The sequence below is a fragment of the Homo sapiens genome, chromosome 16 (assembly GCF_000001405.40).
Source record: "Homo sapiens chromosome 16, GRCh38.p14 Primary Assembly".
NCBI classification, from domain to species: domain Eukaryota; kingdom Metazoa; phylum Chordata; class Mammalia; order Primates; family Hominidae; genus Homo; species Homo sapiens.
In genome coordinates, this window is record NC_000016.10 from 63384857 (window position 1) to 63409726 (window position 24870).

The 24870-nt window shown below is 37.4% G+C and overlaps 1 long non-coding RNA gene across 3 annotated transcripts in view, besides 1 other annotated feature; it reads right to left on the reverse strand.

Moving 5' to 3' along the window:
• Positions 1-24870, reverse strand: part of LOC105371308 (uncharacterized) — a 512336-nt gene that overhangs the window by 279146 nt on the left and 208320 nt on the right. The gene's annotated exons all lie outside the window — the stretch shown is intronic.
• Positions 3533-4136: an enhancer, noted in NCBI's record as "H3K27ac-H3K4me1 hESC enhancer chr16:63422293-63422896 (GRCh37/hg19 assembly coordinates)". NCBI's record gives its function as "activates a minimal SCP1, AML or CMV promoter by ChIP-STARR-seq in naive H9 embryonic stem cells {active_cell/tissue: H9 hESC(naive)}" and the evidence as "EXISTENCE:reporter gene assay evidence [ECO:0000049][PMID:30033119]".

The following is a 24870-nucleotide window of genomic DNA, read 5'->3' on the forward strand; positions in this document are numbered from 1 at the left end:
ACAGTGGAGGGCAGCATGCAACCCAAGTTTCTCTAGCTCCAAAAGCCATACCTTTTCCAGTACAAAATAGTACCTTCCTGATGCTGCAAGAACAAAGGGACGGATGACATGATTGCATGTGTCTTTATATCAATGCCAGTTCTCACATATATAAAGTACAGGGACAATACTCCATCCTCTATAAAGTAATTATGCTAAGTCTTCAACGTCAAGAGTACAAAGTGTGGGGGGCTGGTTGGACAACACTATCATGCCTCTATCTTCATAGATTTATCATTGACTTGTAATCATGTTCTGGTTGTTGCTATCATGACCTATTATGTCTGGGAGATTCTGTGTTTCCGTTTTTCTCTTTCTCTCTCATCTTTTCTTGTCTCTGACCCAGACCTTTCTACTCAGACAGGTTACATGTGATAGATCAGAGCATAAAGGTAAAATCTGAAACATACAGGATAATAAAAGAATGATGGACAGCTTTTAGCCAAGGTTCTGTTCTGTCCTCTCAGTTATAGATAATGACTTTGCCTGAGAAAAACAATAAGAGAGTCCCTCTTCAACCAAACACACAGAAAAAAGGAGGTTTGTTTTTTTTTTTTGTATTTTTTTCAGTCTGCAGTCACAACTTAGTGAGTGGACTAGTTTCTATGTAGTGTAATTATTACCAAAGATGATTTTACTCTTCAGTTATTTTCTTTCCTTTTTCATTATATTTCATCTTATGAGACTTAAATTCAATAAATTAATGGAAAATCTCTTACCACCAACTTTCTATTAAACACCCAGCTAATAGTAACTACAACATCCAGGAAAATCATCAAGTAATAAAAACAATGTTTTCATTAGCGCATGTAATAAATATTGGAATATAGGAACAATGAATGGATGAATAAAGGAAAGAATGCATTGATGGCTAAATGGATGAATAGCAACTTACTTGGCAGTCAGAAATACTGAGGAAGTCACTGCTGCTGAATTGAAACTCATTCCTGACACGTATGCACCCTATCCAACCACCTGGGTCACATCTCTGTGCCAAGAGCCAGCCACAGGTGGTGCTGGCTTTCTTGTATCATCTTTCTAAATGCTTCCTCATCTGCCATCGCCTGTGCTTGCTCCTGGTATGAGCAGTCTCACCCTCTGGCTGTGATCATTTGCTTCTGGACATGCTGTTTTTCTGCTTGTCAAGTAGACCGACATTACTATGCTTGCATAAAATGAAAAATCAGCACTTTGAGAAGCCATTTTTTGCCCCTAAAATGAGTTTATTACGGGTTTATTTTTCATTGCCTATCAAACAGATGTTGCCTGCTCTCGGAGGAATTTTCTGCGCTTCCCAGTCACTCTGGCTGGGTGGGTTGCCAGATGCTCCAGCACTCTGCAGAGCTGCTCACGAATGCCAGGGAGGTGAGCAGATCTGCCTCAGCCATGAGAATGGAAATCAAAGTGTTGCTGTGCATGGTGGGACAGGGGGTGGCTGCTGCTTCAAAATGGGAAAATGCAAACAAGTATGGAACAGATGCAGACAAGTTCCAACTGCTGTGGAAGCAGCCTGATTCAGTAGAAAGAGCATCAGATTTGGAATCAGACCGAGCTGGGTTGAAATCCCAAATTTGCCACTTTCAGGCTCTGTGAATTGAACTCTTTGCCTCAACTCTAAATCGTAGATTTTAACACTCATATTATAGAGTTGCTATACGGACTAAATATGTCCCTAGCGTATAATAGATGATCAGTAAATAGTAGCTGATCCACTACTTTCTTAACCAATGTTAAGCTGAATGATTGGAGGAAGCCATTTTATAATCACGTTTGTTAATAATATATCTCAGATATATCTATCATCTATCTATCTATGTATCAATCTGTGTATCTATCTAACCTGTCTATCTACCTACAGATCTGTATCTACCTACATACCTACCTATCTGTAAAATTCCATAGTTATTTAAAACGGTTAAATTTTATGTATGCACCATAATTAATATCAATTTTCAATTAATCAATTAGGTTTTCGGTTTTTTTTAAACATTGTTAGAGTGAACATTTTCTCACACACGCATGCTCACATATCCTGGTGTATTTATCTAATAACTACTTTAGGAGAAATGTTTAAAACTGGATTTGCTCACTCCAAAATTTGTAACTTTACACTGTGTTTCATATAGCCATTTATTTTTCTAAAATATGTATTCATTTGCATTCTCACCAACCATATCTGAAAACTATTTTCCCGCATTCTAGTAACCACTGGATATTGACAATAATTTTAAATACATCTCCACATAATTTTATTAGGTGCAAGAATAAATACCTTTCATGTACTCATTGGTGGTTTATCTCATTTCCTTTGTGAATTGCCTCCAAAAAAGTTTGCAAGTGCAACACCTTTTCTTTTGGTTTACAAAGGGTGAGGAGGTTTCAGAACTAAGTAGGGAAGATGACAGCTGTGGCAGAGAAAAGTTACTGCCCACCAAAAAACTATGTGAAACTATGTTTCCCCACCTCCCTTGTAACTTCATGGACTTTGAATGAGAAATAATCACACTGTGTTAAGCAACTGAGATAAGTGGCAGCTAGAATTAATTATCCTCATTTAAACCAGTGTCAAAGTGAAGCTGCTTAAGCCATGATTTAATGATAATAAGAGATTATCTTAGCTTAACCAAAGGTAAAATCATGGTGTGCATACAGGTATTTATGCACATGTACATAGTACGTGGTATGCAATGTAAAACATAAATTATTTATTTTGAAATTTCAGTTTAACATTTTCGGTCTATGGTTGAATGCAGGTAACTGATACTGCTCAAAGCAAAACTGCAGATAAGGGGGGACTACTGTATGAAAAATTGTTTCACTTGGCTGGGCGCGGTGGCTCAAGTCTGTAATCCCAGCACTTTGGGAGGCCAAGGCAGGTGGATCACAAGGTCAGAAGATCGAGACCATCCTGGCTAACATGGTGAAACCTCATCTCTACTAAAAATATAAAAAAAAATTAGCTGGGCGTGGTGGCAGGTGCCTGTACTCCCAGCTACTCAGGAGGCTGAGGCAGGAGAATGTCATGAACCCAGGAGGCGGAGGTTGCAGTGAGCAGAGACCGTGCCACTGGACTCCAGCCTGGGCGACAGAGCAAGACTCAATCTCAAAAAAAAAGGAAGAAAGAAAGAAAAATTGTTTCTCTCTAGCATACAGCTTAAGCTAAGAAGTAAAAGAAAGCCTCAGAGGAGCCAAGATGGCCAAATAGGAACAGCTCCGGTCTACAGCTCCCAGCGTGAGCGACGCAGAAGACGGGTGATTTCTGCATTTCCATCTGAGGTACCGGGTTCATCTCACTAGGGAGTGCCAGACAGTGGGCGCAGGTCAGTGGGTGAGTGCACCGTGCGCGAGCAGAAGCAGGGCGAGGCATTGCCTCACTTGGGAAGCGCCACGGGTCAGGGAGTTCCCTTTCTGAGTCAAAGAAAGGGGTGACGGACGGCACCTGGAAAATCGGGTTACTCCCACCCGAATACTGCGCTTTTCCAACGGGCTTAAAAAACGGCGCACCAGGAGATTATATCCGGCACCTGGCTCGCAGGGTCCTACGCCCACAGAGTCTCGCTGGTTGCTAGCACAGCAGTCTGAGATCAAACTGCAAGGAGGCTGCGAGGCTGGGGGAGGGGCGCCCGCCATTGCCCAGGCTTGATTAGGTAAACAAAGCAGCCGGGAAGCTCCAACTGGGTGGAGCCCACCACAGCTCAAGGAAGCCTGCCTGCCTCTGTAGGCTCCACCTCTGGGGGCAGGGCACAGACAAACAAAAAGACAGCAGTAACCTCTGCAGACTTAAATATCCCTGTCTGACAGCTTTGAAGAGAGCAGTGGTTCTCCCAGCACACAGCTGGAGATCTGAGAACGGGCAGACTGCCTCCTCAAGTGGGTCCCTGACCCCTGAGCCCCGAGCAGCGTAACTGGGAGGCACCCCCCAGCAGGGGCACACTGACACCTCACACGGCAGGGTATTCCAACAGACCTGCAGCTGAGGGTCCTCTCTGTTAGAAGGAAAACTAACAAACAGAAAGGACATCCACACCAAAAACCCATCTGTACATCACCATCATCAAAGACCAAAAGTAGATAAAACCACAAAGATGGGGAAAAAACAGAATAGAAAAACTGGAAACTCTAAAAAGCAGAGCACCTCTCCTCCTCCAAAGGAACGCAGTTCCTCACCAGCAACGGAACAAAACTGGATGGAGAATGACTTTGACGAGCTGAGAGAAGAAGGCTTCAGACGATCAAATTACTCTGAGCTACGGGAGGACATTGAAACCAAAGGCAAAGAAGTTGAAAACTTTGAAAAAAATTTAGAAGAATGTATAACTAGAATAACCAATACAGAGAAGTGCTTAAAGGAGCTGATGGAGCTGAAAACCAAGGCTCGAGAACTACGTGAAGAATGCAGAAGCCTCAGGAGCCGATGCGATCAACTGGAAGAAAGGGTATCAGCAACGGAAGATGAAATGAATGAAATGAAGCGAGAAGGGAAGGTTAGAGAAAAAAGAATAAAAAGAAATGAGCAAAGCCTCCAAGAAATATGGGACTATGTGAAAAGACCAAATCTACGTCTGATTGGTGTACCTGAAAGTGATGGGGAGAATGGAACCAAGTTGGAAAACACTCTGCAGGATATTATCCAGGAGAACGTCCCCAATCTAGCAAGGCAGGCCAACGTTCAGATTCAGGAAATACAGAGAACGCCACAAAGATACTCCTTGAGAAGAGCAACTCCAAGACACATAATTGTCAGATTCACCAAAGTTGAAATGAAGGAAAAAATGTTAAGGGCAGCCAGAGAGGAAGGTCGGGTTACCCTCAAAGGGAAGCCCATCAGACTAACAGTGGATCTCTTGGCAGAAACCCTACAAGCCAGAAGAGAGTGGGGGCCAATATTCAACATTCTTAAAGAAAAGAATTTTCAACCCAGAATTTCATATCCAGCCAAACTAAGCTTCACAAGTGAAGGAGAAATAAAATACTTTACAGACAAGCAAATGCTGAGAGATTTTGTCACCACCAGGCCTGCCTTACAAGAGCTCCTGAAGGAAGCACTAAACATGGAAAGGAACAACCGGTACCAGCTGCTGCAAAATCATGCCAAAATGTAAAGATCATCCAGACTAGGAAGAAACTGCATCAACTAACGAGCAAAATAACCAGCTAGCATCATAATGACAGGATCAAATTCACACATAACAATATTAACTTTAAATGTCAATGGACTAAATGCTCCAATTAAAAGACAGAGACTGGCAAATTGGATAAAGAGTCAAGACCCATCAGTGTGCTGTATTCAGGAAACCCATCTCACGTGCAGAGACACACATAGGCTCAAAATAAAAGGATGGAGGAAGATCTACCAAGTAAATGGAAAACAAAAAAAGGCAGGGGTTGCAATCCTAGTCTCTGATAAAACAGACTTTAAACCAACAAAGATCAAAAGAGACAAAGAAGGCCATTACATAATGGTAAAGGGATCAATTCAACAAGAAGAGCTAACTATCCTAAATATATATGCACCCAATACAGGAGCACCAAGATTCATAAAGCAAGTCCTGAGTGACCTACAAAGAGACTTAGACTCCCACACATTAATAATGGGAGACTTTAACACCCCACTGTCAACATTAGACAGATCAATGAGACAGAAAGTCAACAAGGATACCCAGGAATTGAACTCAGCTCTGCACCAAGCAGACCTAATAGACATCTACAGAACTCTCCACCCCAAATCAACAGAATATACATTTTTTTCAGCACCACACCACACCTATTCCAAAATTGACCACATACTTGGAAGTAAAGCTCTCCTCAGCAAATGTAAAAGAACAGAAATTATAACAAACTATCTCTCAGACCACAGTGCAATCAAACTAGAACTCAGGATTAACAATCTCACTCAAAACCACTCAACTACATGGAAACTGAACAACCTGCTCCTGAATGACTACGGGGTACATAACGAAATGAAGGCAGAAATAAAGATGTTCTTTGAAACCAACGAGAACAAAGACACAACATACCAGAATCTCTGGGACTCATTCAAAGCAGTGTGTAGAGGGAAATTTATAGCACTAAATGCCCACAAGAGAAAGCAGGAAAGATCCAAAATTGACACCCTAACATCACAATTAAAAGAACTAGAAAAGCAAGAGCAAACACATTCTAAAGCTAGCAGAAGGCAAGAAATAACTAAAATCAGAGCAGAACTGAAGGAAATAGAGACACAAAAAACCCTTCAAAAAATTAATGAATCCAGGAGCTGGTTTTCTGAAAGGATCAACAAAATTGATAGACCGCTAGCAAGACTAATAAAGAAAAAAAGAGAGATGAATCAAATAGATGCAATAAAAAATGATAAAGGGGATATCACCACCGATCCCACAGAAATACAAACTACCATCAGAGAATACTACAAACACATCTATGCAAATAAACTAGAAAATCTAGAAGAAATGGATAAATTCCTCAACACATACACTCTCCCAAGACTAAACCAGGAAGAAGTTGAATCTCTGAATAGACCAATAACAGGAGCTGAAATTGTGGCAATAATCAATAGCTTACCAACCAAAAAGAGTCCAGGACCAGATGGATTCGCAGCCGAATTCTACCAGAGGTACAAGGAGGAACTGGGACCATTCCTTCTAAAACTATTCCAATCAATAGAAAAAGAGGGAGTCCTCCCTAACTCATTTTATGAGGCCAGCATCATCCTGATACCAAAGCCGGGCAGAGATACAACCAAAAAAGAGAATTTTAGACCAATATCCTTGATGAACATTGATGCAAAAATCCTCAATAAAATACTGGCAAAACGAATCCAGCAGCACATCAAAAAGCTTATCCACCATGATCAAGTGGGCTTCATCCCTGGGATGCAAGGCTGGTTCAATATACGCAAATCAATAAATGTAATCCAGCATATAAACAGAGCCAAAGACAAAAACCATATGATTATCTCAATAGATGCAGAAAAAGCCTTTGACAAAATTCAACAACCCTTCATGCTAAAAACTCTCAATAAATTAGGTATTGATGGGACGTATTTCAAAATAATAAGAGCTATCTATGACAAACCCACAGCCAATATCATACTGAATGGGCAAAAACTGGAAGCATTCTCTTTGAAATCTGGCACAAGACAGGGATGCCCTCTCTCACCACTCCTATTTAACATAGTGTTGGAAGTTCTGGCCAGGGCAATTAGGCAGGAGAAGGAAATAAAGGGTATTCAATTAGGAAAAGAGGAAGTCAAATTGTCCCTGTTTGCAGACGACATGATTGTATATCTAGAAAACCCCATTGTCTCAGCCCAAAATCTCCTTAAGCTGATAAGCAACTTCAGCAAAGTCTCAGGATACAAAATCAATGTACAAAAATCACAAGCATTCTTATACACCAACAACAGACAAACAGAGAGCCAAATCATGAGTGAACTTCCATTCACAATTGCTTCAAAGAGAATAAAATACCTAGGAATCCAAATTACAAGGGATGTGAAGGACCTCTTCAAGGAGAACTACAAACCACTGCTCAAGGAAATAAAAGAGGATACAAACAAATGGAAGAAAATTCCATGCTCATGGGTAGGAAGAATCAATATCGTGAAAATGGCCATACTGCCCAAGGTAATTTACAGATTCAATGCCATCCCCATAAAGCTACCAATGACTTTCTTCACAGAATTGGAAAAAACTACTTTAAAGTTCATATGGAACCAAAAAAGAGCCCGCATCGCCAAGTCAATCCTAAGCCAAAAGAACAAAGCTGGAGGCATCACACTACCTGACTTCAAACTATACTACAAGGCTACAGTAAGCAAAACGGCATGGTACTGGTACCAAAACAGAGATATAGATCAATGGAACAGAACAGAGCCCTCAGAAATAACGCCGCATATCTACAACTATCTGATCTTTGACAAACCTGACAAAAACAAGCAATGGGGAAAGGATTCCCTATTTAATAAATGGTGCTGGGAAAACTGGCTAGCCATATGTAGAAAGCTGAAACTGGATCCCTTCCTTGCACCTTATACAAAAATTAATTCAAGATGGATTAAAGACTTAAATGTTAGACCTAAAACCATAAAAACCCTAGAAGAAAACCTAGGCATTACCATTCAGGACATAGGCATGGGCAAGGACTTCATGTCTAAAACACCAAAAGCAATGGCAACAAAAGCCAAAATTGACAAATGGGATCTAATTCAACTAAAGAGCTTCTGCACAGCAAAAGAAACTACCATCAGAGTGAACAGGCAACCTACAAAATGGGAGAAAATTTTCGCCACCTACTCATCTGACAAAGGGCTAATATCCAGAATCTACAATGAACTCAAACAAATTTACAAGAAAAAAGCAAACAACCCCATCAAAAAGTGGGTGAAGGACATGAACAGACACTTCTCAAAAGAAGACATTTATGCAGCCAAAAAACACATGAAAAAATGCTCATCATCACTGGCCATCAGAGAAATGCAAATCAAAACCTCAATGAGATACCATCTCACACCAGTTAGAATGGCAATCATTAAAAAGTCAGGAAACAACAGGTGCTGGAGAGGATGTAGAGAAATAGGAACACTTTTACACTGTTGGTGGGACTGGAAACTAGTTCAACCATTGTGGAAGTCAGTGTGGCGATTCCTCAGGGATCTAGAACTGGAAATACCATTTGACCCAGCCATCCCATTACTGGGTATATACCCAAAGGACTATAAATCATGCTGCTATAAAGACACATGCACACGTATGTTTATTGCGGCATTATTCACAATAGCAAAGACTTGGAACCAACCCAAATGCCCAACAATGATAGACTGGATTAAGAAAATGTGGCACATATACACCATGGAATACTATGCAGCCATAAAAAATGATGAGTTCATGTCCTTTGTAGGGACATGGATGAAATTGGAAATCATCATTCTCAGTAAACTATCGGAAGAACAAAAAACCAAACACCGCATATTCTCACTCATAGGTGGGAATTGAACAATGAGATCACATGGACACAGGAAGGGGAATATCACACTCTGGAGACTGTTGTGGGGTGTGGGGAGGGGGGAGGGATAGCATCGGGAGATATACCTAATGCTAGATGACGAGTTAGTGGGTGCAGCACACCAGCATGGCACATGTATACATATGTAACTAACCTGCACAATGTGCACATGTACCCTAAAACTTAAAGTATAATAAAAAAAAAGAAAGCCTCATGCTTCACAGCTTATTGCTTCTTCGATATTATTAACTTATGAAATCAAAGAAGAACCTTAGCTATGATTCCTAATTATGATATTATTATTAATAATAACCAATGTACTTATCCCTTACTACTTATTCTCAGTACTTTACATATGTTCCTTATTTCATCCTCGAAGGTGTGCCCTATGAGGTAGGAACTCTTATAAATTTTTTAAAAGTATGACAGGTACGTATTAGAGAGGTTCTATTTTTGAAGCCAGAATTTAAACACAGGCAATCTGGTTTCAGGGTTGAGGCTTGCTACTTCCTGAGAGAGAGCTTATGTATTGCTTGGAAACACTTCTGTGTCTTTACTCTTTTAGAGGCAATCTAGTCTCCTTCTGGATGTGATGTATTTACCAGATTACTTTTTTCTTCAGTTTCCTCACCTTTAAATTTAGACAATAACAGTTACCATTACAGCAGATCATATAGGTAAAATACTTAGTACATGTCCTAGCACAAATAAAGTGTTTGAGAAATGATAACAATCATTATTATTACTTTTATTATTGTTATCATGATAAGATAGTTTGGAAATAATAAAGCTGATGTATAACCAGTCTGACTTTATTAGGAGGGATTTTAGAACTGAGAGTCTTTCCAATCATTGTAAAAGAGGAAGTAATGTTCTTAGAGATCATAATAGAGGTTAAAATTAGATAATACAGAGGTACTATCTATTATTCTAGATAAAGTTAAAGGCAGTCATAGAACTTGTCCATATAGAAGCCATGCAGCATAGGGGAAGGTTTTCAGGTGTGTTGTCTTTGGGTAGAATAACCTCGCCAAAAGAAGGTCAGGTCTACAGAAATTCAGTCAGTGCCTTAAAGGAGGAGGATATTTTGCTGGCATTCACGTATTGATGCAAATGAATACTCAGAGTCTACTAAAGTTGGTGTGGTATGTGGATACAGCAAAGAAAGTAATGAGTAAGTGTTCTTGTCTCCTCCAGGTATACAGATTTGAGAAGCTACTAAACCATAGAAATTACATCATTAGAGATAGCATAGACTTTTTATCTTTACCAACTTCCTGCTACCACATTAAGTAGAAGTGGTAACATCTGCTCTCCATGCAGGTAGCTAGCACTTCCCATGTAGGGCAATTGGATCCCCACCAAGTGAACAACTCAGCTGTCTGGTATCTCTCTTAAGTGCATCTTTATTAAAATCTTGAGCTGTAAAAATAAATTTGCTTATTTTCCATTCACTACAGGTAGGACTTATGTCTTTTATTTTTCGGGCATAACATGGATTAATAAATATGTAGTATTTCCATGTCATTATTTCATTGATTTTTTTTCTTTATATGGTGGAAAAAACTTTATTGAAATTTTTCTGGTCAACAGAGGTCCATAAAATATATTTAATATAATCATAGATTCAATATTATTTCATAAGAACATAATTTTATAGAAAATGTATTGTATGTCTAATATAATGTTCATGACCTCATATATTTATTGATATATAATGTCCATAGGTTAACATTTTTCCTCATAGAAATGAAGGGTAAATCAGTTTGTCCAAAGTAACACAGCTGATTTGTCATTGTCCTTTTTTGTTTCAATGTGCCCTCTATTCAATATATTTGTGAGTAGTTTCAGAAATAAGCCTAAGTGTTATTTGTTCCTTTGGAAGGTAGTTTACCAGATGTTTGTTTTAAGGATTTCAGATGTACAAGTCTTAAATTGTACACAGGGCTGTATCTAGAGCTTGTATGGGAGATGGGGTCTTCATATGCTTTTTTTTTTTAATTTTATTTTCATTGTCCTTGTTTGGATTCTTATTATCTCTACCCTGAAGTCCTTCCAGCAGGACAGAAATATTCTAATTTTAACATCTGATGGAGTGAGAACTGCTGGTTCTAAGAAGCCTAAAATTTTCTTCCAAAGGAAAGAAATGCTGTTTTGGGGAGTTTGTGTTTTAGAGTGAATCCAGGAAGTTGGAGGACCTGGCATTATCTAAGAAATTACATTCATACAACGTTCCAATTGGCTTTCTCGTCTCATCTCAATGGCCTTCCCACAAGGTACACAATGGCTAAATTAAATCTGGTAAAGCATGAGTCTTGGCTCTTGATAGAATAATTTTGGCTACAGTATAAATTTCAGCCACCTAAGGCTCATTTTAAAGCCATTCATTATCTAAATTTCTAATCCTATCTCCGTTATTTTCCTAAATACTGTATATTTAGAAAACTTGACTATGTTCACTCCTATGTCCATATCCAAAATTACCTTTTACTCATAGATACTTCATGCTTTCATTATATTAATCAGTTTATACTTTACATTTTTGCAAATTTTAATTGTAGCTTGTCTTCCCCTCTCACATCAAAGCCTGTGGCCATGGGTTATCTCTTTTCATCTGCATGATTACCATGCACTAGTAGAGGGCAAGCAGCTGACTGATTTTGGGTATGACTCACATATGAATTAGATTTTAAGCCTCAAAAACACCTATGATGTAGTCACTAGCTCTATTTTATAGTAAGAACATGGAGTCTCTGAGTGTTTAGTTAGGCTCAGAAATTGATTACATATAACCCACTCCTTTGGAAGGTAGTTTATTACATGTTTGTTTTAAAGAATACAGATATACAAGTCTTAATATTTACACAGGGCCCAATCCTAACATAATCTGAATATTATGTCACAGTGCCAGTCATAGTCACTTGGATACAGTAGGTGATCAACTAAAATGTATTTATTCGTGAAAGAATGGGATTAATATAATAGTATACTGTTTATTTCTCACTAATAATTGCCTCATAACTTTCAAGTATAAAATTTGTCCAAAATATACCAATTTCAGAGAAGAAAAAGGCTATTCCCAGTATTTCATAATTTATGAATTATGTTTATGTCAATATAACTTTTTCCACCACCGAGCCAACTTGCTGTTACAAAGAAAAGGCACGTAATAAAATCAGACTTCTTCTAAAGTGAGGCTGCCTCCCTAATTGCAAATGTAAATGTTGCCAGGTGTTCAGCTCCCTTGTCCTAATAAATAAATAATTAGAAAACATGATTAATATGAAGCCTTGCTGCCTAGCTGTGTAGAGTGTTCTTAGAGAGCAATGTTGGGAATTGGACTTGGAGGGAAGAGTATATGCTTGATGGGATGCTTCCAAGTCATCCTGGCAAGAAAGCATCACATGAGTATGCACACTATGAGTGCCCTACTTGGGGCCAGAACAGAATTATAGACTTGGGAGAAGCAAACAAAGTCCCCCTTGGCTGCTAGAGATGGGAGTTAGATGAAGCATCATCTGAAATCAAGATACTTTGATTCAGTTGTGTTCTGAGTCAGACCATATTTTTTTTACCCAAATCTATCATTTTCTTTTTTTAAAATTTAATTTAATTTTTTATTACACTTTAAGTTCTAGGGTACATGTGCACAACGTGCAGGTTTGTTACATATGTATACATGTGTCATGCTGGTTAACTAGCTTTTCTTATCTTTCATTTCATCAGTTTTCTAATCACTATAATAACACCTGTTTCAATTGTAAACATTGAATTAGTTTGTGAACATGCAAATGCCTAGAACAAAAGTCTTTTTCTTTTTCTTTTTTTTCTCCATTGCACTTTTATTTGAATGTAATATTTGGGACAATTATTCAAAAGGGCCAATATTTCCCAATTTAATCTGAGGTCATAATAAAACAAGCAACAAAACAGTTTTTGGGATTTCAGTTTCTCACCCTTATCATCAAGACTCACTGCCTCCCATCATTAATATTTACTGAGCATTTATAGTGTACTAGGCACAACAGAACATACAGAAAACATTATCTCAGTGTCTAAGGCACCCTGCTTCCTTTGCTTGCATCCCTAAAACAAAAGTCTTTTTCAAATAATAGTTATTAGCCCTTATTTTCTTCATCTGCAAAATGGAAATCATGTTTAGAAAACAATGCATATTATATTTCCTCATTGGAAAAGTATAATGCTCATCAGCATATCAAAATCTCTTAAGCATTTCTACAATAAAGAAGCCTACATAATTTTAACTCAGTAATCCACATACTTATGCAACCACAATAATGTAACCATTCACTTTGCTAAATACATTTTGGAAAATATAGTCTTATCTTAGGAAATATTGTGATGAATAATTAAGATATTATACCTGTAAATAAACAATATGAGCATCTATCCTCTTCTGCTGATCCAGAAATATGGGGAAACAAATCAGCATGTTTAGAGAACAACAACAACAAAAAGCTATCAATACAGAATTCTGAAAACTCACATTGGGTTGAATACTTGTTGCACCCAGAATCCTCTATTTAGGGTCCATGGTTTTGTGTAGGATTGTGACTTTTTAGAATGAGAAGATATTTTCAAATTGAAATCCAAAGTGACAAGGGATTTTATCAATGGAGCACCATGAAAGATTGTTTTTTTACAAATGGCCAAATATTTCTTCCTGTCCCTTGCAGCATTGCTGTTCCTTTCATGTGGAGTTAGAATCTATTTCTCTAACTTCTGAATTTGTTCTTTGCTGTGTGACTTGCACTGGCCAAAGGAGTATTTACAAATAAAATGCAAGCAAAAACTTCCAAAATGTTGGTTTATTGGAACTTCTCCTCTCTCTGGCTTTTGTATGGAAATCCTCTGCAACTGTGTTCACAAGCCCAGGCTGACTTGCTGCCGGAGAAGAAATTATGCAAAGACAGGCTGCAGCCATCCCAATCATCCCAAGAGTGGTTCCAGCACAGGATAAATAAGCAAGTCAAACCCCAGCAAAGCCATAATAGACCTTTCAAAGTTTCCTCAGGTCTCTTTCCCACCATTATTTGTGATCAGAAAACTTACAAAATATGTACCCACTTATTCCATTTTTAAACACAGCATATTGTATTGTTAAATTTAAGAACTATTGTGTACAATAAATCTATAGAACTTATTCATCTAGTATAACTGAAAGTTTACATCCATTGAAAAACCCTTCATTGCCTCCAGCCCTCAGCACCTGGCAATCGCTATTGAATTTTCTGTTGTAGTTTTTTTTCTTTTTTTCTGAAATTGTAGGAGTTTCTTATGTATTTTGAAAATTAACCCCTTATCGAACATATGGCTTGCAAATATTTTCTTCCACTCCACAGATTGACTTTTCATTTTGTTAATTGTTTCCTTTGCTGTTCAGAAGCTTTTTAGTTTGATGAGTCCCACTTATCTACTTTTGCTTTTGTTGCCTGTGCTTTTGGTGTCATATCCAATAAGTAATTGCCAATATGATTCTATACACTAAAAACGCCCATCTAAAAATAAAATTTAGAAAACAATCCCATTACAAGAGCATCAATAAAACCCTGAAATATTTAGGAATAAACTTAACCAATAAGGTAAAAAAAATTGTACACTTAAAACTACAAAACATTGATGAAAGAAATTAAAGACACATGGAAAGATATCCTAGGTTCATAAATTAAAACACTTAGCATTTTTCAAGTGACTATTTCAACTAAAACAATCTAAGCTATCCCCTTTAAAATCCCAATGGATTTTGTTTTACAGATAAAAAAAAATCTTAACATTTATATGGCATCCCAAAAGACATAGAATAGTTAAAGCAATCTTGAAAGAGAACAAAGCTTGAGGCACAGCATTCTTGATTTTAAAATATACTGCAAAGCTATAGTAATCAAAAGATTACTGGTTTAAAACAGTATGGTACTAACATAAAGACAGACATATAGGTCACTGAAACAAAATATAGACCCCAGAAACAAATCTACACATCTATGGTGAGCAGATCTCCAAAAAGGGTGACAATGGGGAAAGGTTAATTTCTTCTTCATGTGTTTAAAAAAAAGAATATCCGCATGGAAAGGAAGGAAGGAAGGAAGGAGAAAGAGAGAAAAGAGGGAAGGGAAGGGAAGGGGAGGGGAGGGGAGGGGAGGAGAGGGAAAAGGAAAGGAAAGGAAAGGAAGGAAAGGGAAGGAAAGGAAAGGAAGAAAGAAAATTGGGCCTCGGCTTTGCACCATACACACAATAAACTCAAAATAGAATCAGGACCTAAACGTAAGTCCTGAAACCATAAAACTCCTAGAGTAAAACATTGGAATAGCTTTAATGCCAGAATAGTTAATGAGCACATGCAAAACTAAGAATTACAGGGCAACTTACTGGTTTATAGCATGAAATATTTCCAGAATAAAACAGGTCAAGATTTTACTGCCTAATAATTGCATCTTCAATATTCTATAACCAGATTCTCTCTTATTAATTTTGTTAACTATCATAAGACTAGTTTAGAATAATGGCTTCATGTATATACACTCATGATATTTTATTCTTATACCAAAATATATTTATTGTTGGCTTCCTTTTGCCAGCACGAACATCGTCTCTTTTCCACTAACAAATACCAATATGTTCGTGTCTTCGTTCATGTTATCACTTTGCTTGTTACCTAGCTTGCTCTAAATAAGATGAGAAAAATAATTGTAGTGAAGAAGAACCTTAGATAAAAGGAATCAGAATTTAGAGCTTAAAGTTTTTTTTAGATTTATATGTTGAAGTGAGCCTTGCGGCAAAGCAGATTAAATTGATCAATATGGATGTTGAAGATTTCGGCAGAAAAATTGTTGAGGAACTCAACTTTCAATATATGGCTCAGTGGGATGGAAGTGGAAGGAATTCTCTTCTTTCTGGTTCCCAGGGTTTTCAAAATTTTGGAGCATCTAGAGATCTCATTCGGATACGATCAGAGCCACTCTCACAATCAGCAGTTATTGCTCCTCAAGTGGTTTTATAGCCAGCAAATGTAGGCAACTGGCAAACAGAAGTAATTTTTAAAAGATAGAATTGACACTATCTTCAATATACTTGAGAGACTTGTTGAATGTCACATGCATGGAACCACTTTGATGACTCTCAGGGTTAACTAAGAGTGGAAGGAAAAAAAAAGTTAGGGAATACAAAGGTAGATGAGAAGTCTTGCTCCTATATCAATAAGGGCAGCTAGACCAGAATGTGCCTATCATGTGGGGAAAGAAACAGAAAACACCTATTTAGGAGAACACACTTTTTCCTGTCATTTTCTATATCGACTTGCACAGAGACTTGCCTCTCCCCAGCTAATATTGCTTAAAGTCACTCACTGTTACTTTATTATTCTTTTTGTTTTTTGGTAAGTTTAATCAAGGTGTCTTCTCTTAGTACTGTTCCAAAGATAGAGGCAGAAGAGCACAGCGGTTCAGGGTGCAGGTTTCAAATACCAGTAGGAATTGTGGCCTACCATTCACTTACTAGTTTTGTGAAAAATTTGACTAGTTTTTTTATATTTTTATTTTTTACCATTACATTGTTGAGGCTTCTTATTGATACACTGGTATGATACCAAGGTGGCATCTTCTTACTGGTAAACTGATATCATACCAATGCAGTATTTAATATAGTAACATGTTTAAAATGCTAATTTGAGTCATTGGTAAACAGCAATAACTCACAAAATGTTAAGCATTATGGTCTTTATTATAAACAGGGCTCGATTTTCATCGCATTTTTCATCAAGAATACTTATTTTTACATCTTATTATTATTATTATTATTATTATTATTATTATTTTGAGGCAGAGTCTTACTCTGTCCCCAGGCCGGAGTCCAGTGGTGTGATCTTGGCTCATGTTATTTGGGTTACTATAAACCCATGTTATTTGGGTTACTATAAACTTGTAGTATAATTTGAAGTCTTTCTTTTGGAACTTTCTTAAACTTTTCAGATCTTTGTTCACGTTACCCATCTGCTCTTACATGTTTCCTAATTTCCCTTACGGCCTTTCATATATTATCCACAGGCTATTTCAACATCTGTATCATTTCTAAATGTGACATTGATATTCACTTTGTCTCTTTATACTGTATTTCTTCTTGTCTTTTCATCGTCTTAAATTTTTGGTTGAAAACCTGGTGTAATCTACAGGGTAACAAGAACACAGATGAAGGCCTTTACATTTTAATCTGGCTGCGGTTGAGCTATGTTTAATGATTTCTGTAGCTGTAGGTATCAATTGCTTCAAATTTGTTTGGTGTTTTTAATTTTACCTCCTTCTTAATCAGATTCAGGACCTCTCAGTCCTTCTAGCTATAATCCACCGTTATAATACTGGATCCCCGATGATACGGTGCTAAGATTTAGAGAGGAGATTAATCCTATAGCCTTTAATTAAATCTCAGTCTTTTGGTGGGCATGTGTCTTGGCAACACACATCATAAGCATCTTTTCCCTTGCCTCTTAGGTGATATAGGAAAGCTAGAGGGAACTGAAGCTGGGTACATATCCTTTCACTCTAAGATAAGACTCTGGAAAATTCTTTTATTCTGGGTACTGAGACTTTATTGCAGAGAATATCATGGACATATTTCAAAATGGATATTTTTACCTTTCCCTGATACAGCCATGAGTGGACCTTGTTTGGCTCTTTGCTGTGAGAAACTATGGTGTTTTCGGGATATACACTGCATAAAAAGTGTGGAGACCTCGACTACTGTGGTCCTAAAGAGATGGTAATTCTTATGCTAGTCTGCATTCAGCTTTCAGCAATTTTTTAGAAAATTACCATTTAAATGCTTTTATTATTTCATGGCTCCAGTAGCTTCTGCTCAAGGTAAGAATAACTTTGTTGTGATTATATCTATTTTCCTGTCACTCCAGATTTCCTGAGGGTGGCTTGCCCTACCTCATTTATTTGATGAGTTAGTTTATTCTGCTTTTGTATCCTTGCAAGGATGATAGAAATGGCTTTATATGGAGCTGAAACCATAACGCTTTGCTTCATTTTTGAAAAATTATATTGCTCAATGTAAAATTATTAGTTGATTATTTTTAACTTTCAGCCCTTTGAACATGTTGTCCCACTACTTTCTGCTCTCCATTGTTTTTGATGATCTTATCGAGTTCCCCTTGTACATGATACGTTTTTTACTGTTTGTTTTTCCCGCTTTCAAGATTTTATGTTTGTCTTTATAGCTTCACTAACTGAATATGATGTCTCCCCATGTGGGTCTCTTTCACTCTATCCTACCTAGAATTTGTTGAGCTTCTAGGATATGTACTTTAATGTTTTTAAAAATCAAATTTGTGACGTTTCTGCCAATATTCCTTTGGATATTTTTCTTCCTTTTTCTATCTCTTCTCTTTTCCTAATATTTTTATTATGGTTGTTACTGGTGGCAAGTGGAGAAACAGCGGCAAGTCCCAGCGAGCTTCTTCCTTGTCCTCTCACAAGAAAGATTTTGACCGACAGACCTAGGCAAGTTTTAAAATCAGAGGCAAAGGGTTATTGAAAGAAGTATAATTGGAAGAGGCCCAAGTGGGGGACTTCAGAGTGCACCGCTTATAGCTTGGAATGTTTTTGTTTGTTTGTTTTGACGCAGGGTCTGGCTCTGTCACCCAGGCTGGAGTGCAGTGGTGCCATCACAGCTCACTGCAGCCTCAATTTTCTATGCTCAAGCGATACTCCCATACTACCACCTCAGCCTCCCGGGTAGCTGGGACCACAGGCACGACCCATCAGGCCCAGTTAATTTTTTGTATTTTTAGTAGAGACAGGGCCAGACGAGGGGAGGCGGGGCAAGGGGGTTGGGGTTGGGGGTTTGCCATGTTGCCCTGCCTGGTCTCAAACTCCTGGGCTCAAGAGATCTACCAGCCTTGGCCTCCCGCAATGCTGGGACTACAGGCATGAGTCACTGTCCTTAGCCGCTTGGGATTTTTATACATTGGCTTTCTTATGGGGGTTTGCTTCTCTTCACTTGCTCCCTCCCTTGGACCTTGGGGCGGGCTGTTGCTCAGTTGCCACATGGCAATGGTCGGCCAGCACTTGGGAGGGGCCGCATGCACAGTGTGTTCAGTGAAGTTCTGCACTTGCTCACTTGGGGCGATTTTTCCCTTCTGGTCCAGCGCCCGCAGAGGAAGGTTATGTACGAGTTAAAACTCTGCCATTTTGCCGCCTACTGCGCATGCTTAAGACCTTATCAGGGACTTGAGGTTTGCTGGCTCCAGATGTTTGCTACCTGTTGAGGAAGTTGTTTTCTACCTCTTCGTCTTGGAGCCAGTTGTGACCACTTGTCATTTCAGAGGGACAGTTTTATGATCTGACCATCACCCTATGACTGCCTGCCATTTCTGGGGGCCCTCTCCTGCCCTGCTCATGTCTGTCTAAATACCTACTCTAACTTGGTGTCCCATATTTCTCAGAGACTGTTTATTCCCCTCCTCCTAGTCTTTATTCTATTCTCTTAATCTTTATAGACATTAATCTCAGTTTTGGCATCTAGAATTTTCTCACTAGAATATTATATCCATATCACTTTAAACTTGTTTTATTGAAAACAAGATTCCTCATTTCCTGAGAGTCCTAAATACGGAGGATGCCTCAGAAAATCGTGCTTCCTGGGTTTATATCTTCAGGTTACTTAAAAGTTTGCAAGTTCTCCATGAAGAACAGTGTTCATGAGAAATCTGGTGTTGTGCCACTGTTGTTGCTGTTGCTGCTGTTGCTGCTGTTGTTGCTGCTGATGCTCCAAGAGTTGTGGCATGCATCTTATTTAGATTATTTTTACTTGTCTGAATTCACCCTATTTCAAAATTATTTTATTCAAATGGATAGGAGAACTTTACATGCTAAATAAAATTATGTGTATTCAAAATATTTTTTATTTTACTTCCAAAATGCTTTATAAATTATTGTTAAATCTTATTCTTCTGGTGCAAGCAGTTTGTGACCCCATCCCACTTTGCGACTAGCTGACTCATGCTTTTCACTTATTATCTGCAGTCCCACATTCTGAGAAGTCTTCTGATATCCCTCAAGACTAAATTTGATATGCCTTTCTGTTATCTCCAAACTCATGTGATTGCCTTGTGCTTTTCTTTCCAATTATTTCTTCTATTTCAGTTGATGAGTCCAAACCTCATAACTTCTCTCTCTCTTCACATCTTTCTACAGATTGGTTTGAGGATGACAGGGTTAAGCCAAGTCAGATAAATGAGTAAATAAGAGATGCTGGAGTTTCTGAGCAGGGAAAAGAACTTCCTCTTTTGAAATAAATAAAATATTCAGTAGGATCCAGGCTTGCTGTGTGCACCACACATGTACAGGGAAACTCATGGCTCCTATTGTTATTAATAACCATATTATAAACATGAGAGAAGACCAGCCAAATAATTAAATAGCTATTCTAAGAGTAAAAAGCTCTAAGGAACCTAGAACTTTGAAGAAACGTCAAATCATTTTTTTCACTTCCCCTGAAGCCTGTACATCTCTGAATGTCTTCATAAATATACTTGGTTATTCAATTATTTGGTTTGGATTTGGTGACACTTATATCTGGAAAAAATATCAAATGATCAAGTTCCCTTACAGGAGTATCATTATTTATTTCAATTTATGTATATCTTTTTCTCCCAGTATGTTGAAGCTTTTTTGAAGATAGGTATTAAGTCTAGTATAGCTTCCTAATGCCAAAGCCTGGTTATAGAGTCTAGCAAAAAGTCCTATCTCAATATATATAAATTTGTGTTTTGCCTATACTTGTAGAGATCTAAATTGTGACTCAGAAATATTAACTAACTTCCCAAATATCACATAACTCAAAAGCACCGGTCACCAATGTAGTGGTAGTCTCATCTTACCTAAATAACTTTTTTCTGCATTGTGAAATTTTACTTTCTAACTCTGTCTGTGATACTATAACATTTGTGTGCAGCTTTTCTCTGCACCATAATACTGATCTCATACCCTGAATATCTAGTATGTAGTCTACAATAAATAATAACAAATGTTTCACAAGTTGAGTCCAATCAAATTGCTTTCTTAGATGATTGCTTTAGAGATGCTTGGAGGGATGACTACTCAGTTATAAATAATTCAAAGCACCCAATATCTATTACACAGCAGACAATGTGCTGGATGGGTAATTTAAATGGGTCCAATGGAATTATCTCTTCAGAAAACTTTGCTTGTTTTCATTCAATATGCAAATGCTATCTACATATTTGTGCAGCAAATAATGGATTTACAAACTAGTTTTACATCATCCTTGTTGAATTTTGCCTCTTCAAATAAAAGTACAGATAACATAGCAGACAAAATTGCCCTTATCTATTGGTCTTTTTCTTAAAGATATATAAATTACAGTAATAAATATTTTCCCCCTCACCATCATCGTTATACAGTAAGTGACAACAAGAGACCCAGTGGATTAAAAGACATGTTTGTTTTCAATATTATTTGGATTTCCAGAGACAGTGAAGGATAGGTACAGAGTAGTCAATGAATGAGTAAAGCATATTAATGTCACATCACCATATTATAGATTTTTAGTTATTAAAATTCACATAATACAGTTTGATCTGAAAAAAAGAGCCCTAGAGAAATTTTTATTCAAGCAGTAGTAAAATAAAGGTAGCATATAAGATACATCAGCCTCAGGTAAGTTAAGCAATTTGCCCAAAATTATCCTAGTTAACACTTGCAGAGGGAGAAGCATAGACCCAGATTTTTTATGTATATACAAAGATTCATATAAACAATATATTTGTGATCGTTAAGTCAAATGCTGTAATTTTTAGGGAGAATATTGAAGCCAATAGAGGATAACTGTCAGGGAAGAAACTCGTTGATCTAGGAATAGAACCTAAAACACAGAAAGTTATCCATGAAAACAGGAAAGGTAGTTTTTCAGATAGAAAAAAAAAAAGGATTGTGGAGATAAATTGAGACAATAATCTAGTTTAAATCTGCCAAAACTTAGTATAAATAAAACTGCAAAATGCTTGTTTGGTTTAAAGTAGAGATGAAATTCAAATAAAATATAATGAACCATTTTAATATGTTCAATTCGCTGGCAGTTAGTAGATTAACAATGTTGTGTAACACAACCACTATGAAATGTTTCAGAAAACATTTTCATCTCCCCAGAATAAATAATTATTGAAATCCCATTCTTCTTCTTTAATTTAGCTCTTTATTTACAGTTTCTTTTAGCTCTTTCAACATTTTTAAGAAACTTGATACAAAGTCTTTGTGTAGTAAGCCTAATGCTTGGCCTCCTCAGGGGCAGTTTCTATTCATTTCTCCTCTTATTGGGCCGTATTTTCTTCTTTCTTTGCATGCTTTATAATTTGTCTTTGAAAATTTGACATTGCAAATGTAATTTCTAACTATAAAAATTATATGATTCTCCCTTCTTTAGATCTTCAGATTTTCTTTTGTGGTTGTATTTTTTAAAGACTTTTTTGTTTGTTTTTACTGTCCGTATTATTTGTTATGGGTGGTCTCTGAGGTATATGTTTCTTTATCTCATGTCTAGCTAGTATTTTCTCATAAAATTCCTTGAACCCCTGCAGTGAAAGAAAAAAAAAAGAAGAAAAGATAGATTAAAAAGACAGATAAATAGCTAGCTAGCTAGCTAGATGATTGATTGATAGATAGATAGAAAGATAGATAGATAGATAGATAGATAGATAGATAGATAGATAGATAGATGCATACATACTTATATACATGTATCTCTTCTAATCTTTGTAAATTGACATTGTGCTGGAACACTTCTTCAATGCCTAGACAGATCATTTGCAACTCTGTCTTAGCCTTCTCTTCCTGCTTGTGCACAGCTTAAAGATAAACCACTTGGAAAGCTGAGGGTCATCTCAGGTCTTTTCTGAGCATATGTGTAGCCATGGGAATGAATGTTGCCTTCTAATTTCTTTGGTATGTGCATGTGCTTTTCAATTACCTAATTTCTAAAGAACAACTCTCTCCGGCTTTCAGCATGGCTATAGTTTACCTCAGTTGTAATATTTTGCACCAAGTTGCAGTGGATTGTTAATTTACCTTACAATGTTTTTAAAGACTTTCCTCTGCCTAGCTCCTTTTAAACATGAAAAATTATAAATTAGGCAAAAAAAAAGGCACGTAGCTTGCAGAAGTCCTTTAGGAAATTCCCAGACAGGTTGAAACAGACAAATAAACATAATTTCTTTGGCATCTCAAGAACTGGGGCCAGAGTACCACACAGGAAATTCAGGATACCATCTTCAAGACCACTGCTGAAGGGAGTAGGACTAGGGCAAGTAAAATGCTGCAAATATTTTGTATAATTTTTAAGTTACCTTGTTCTTGACTCAGTGTTTACTTGTTTTCTGTAAATGGTTAACTATTTTCCAGCTTTCTGACAAAGTTGATTATCTTTTTGTTTCAATTTTTTAGTATGTTTGTGAAAAGATGAACACTTGGATCTGTCAATTTTACATTTTTTTTTGTTTGTTTTTGGCTGACCTCACACTCCACAATGACTTTTTGCTTGGAATGCCCAGGTTATATATAATGCTCACAGTCCTTAGACTTTACAAATAGCTGAAAAATAAACTTTTTTTTTTTTTTTTTTTTTTTTTTTTTTTTTTTTTGAGACGGAGTCTCGCTCTGTCGCCCAGGCTGGAGTGCAGTGGCGCGATCTCGGCTCACTGCAAGCTCCGCCTCCCGGGTTCACGCCATTCTCCTGCCTCAGCCTCCCAAGTAGCTGGGACTACAGGCGCGCGCCACTACGCCCGGCTAATTTTTTGTATTTTTAGTAGAGACGGGGTTTCACCGTTTTAGCCGGGATGGTCTCGATCTCCTGACCTCGTGATCCGCCCGCCTCGGCCTCCCAAAGTGCTGGGATTACAGGCGTGAGCCACCGCGCCCGGCCTGAAAAATAAACTTTTAGAAGAAAGTCTAGCTATGTAGAAATTTTGTCTATTCAGAATATGTTTATTTGAAAGCAAAAAAGTGACTGATCAACAAAGGTTTAAATATTGAAGTCATTAATTATCCTGCATTCGTGTGTGTGCCATCTGCATGTACACACACATACAGACTCCAGACATATTGAATATTCTGCCGTTTCTTAAGGAAGTTATTAAAATCATGGACTCTATCTTCTGGCTTTGCCACATGCTGCATCCACTTTCCAAACAGTTAAATTATGTTGACTCCTTGCACTTAAAAATGTCATTTCATCATTTCAAAATGGTTCCTGCAGCTTCTTACACAACAGGTTATAAGTAGTAATAAAGAGGAAAAGATAAAAAGTTTTCAGTTAATAAAGTTCTGTCTTTTATACAGGAATTTAAAATAATATTGAAGCTTTAAACTAGACTTCCATGTATGACCCATTGGCCAGAAATTGATCTCATGCTTATTCCCATTATGTTCTCAAGGACTAGGGAGGCAATGTGGTTATGATGACTAGTTCTTGTCACTGATGAGTTATCTAATGCACAGTAAGCAGAGATTCATTTCTTTGGAAATAAATGGGAATGTGTAAGAGAAATAATTCGTAGAGAAGAATGGTAGATGAAAATATAATGCCTAACCCAGAAAGTGTTTAACACATATGCCTTTTGTGGATAAGATGGCAAAGATTACAGTTCACAGAATCCTTAGTTTTCAATTGACATATAAATTACCTAGTATTTCTCATTTGGAGAGAAAGTACAATTTTGACGCGAATACATTTTTCAGAAAAGAAAATGTAAATTAGAATATATTTTAAAGTATGTGGATATTCAGTAAAATGTAAAAT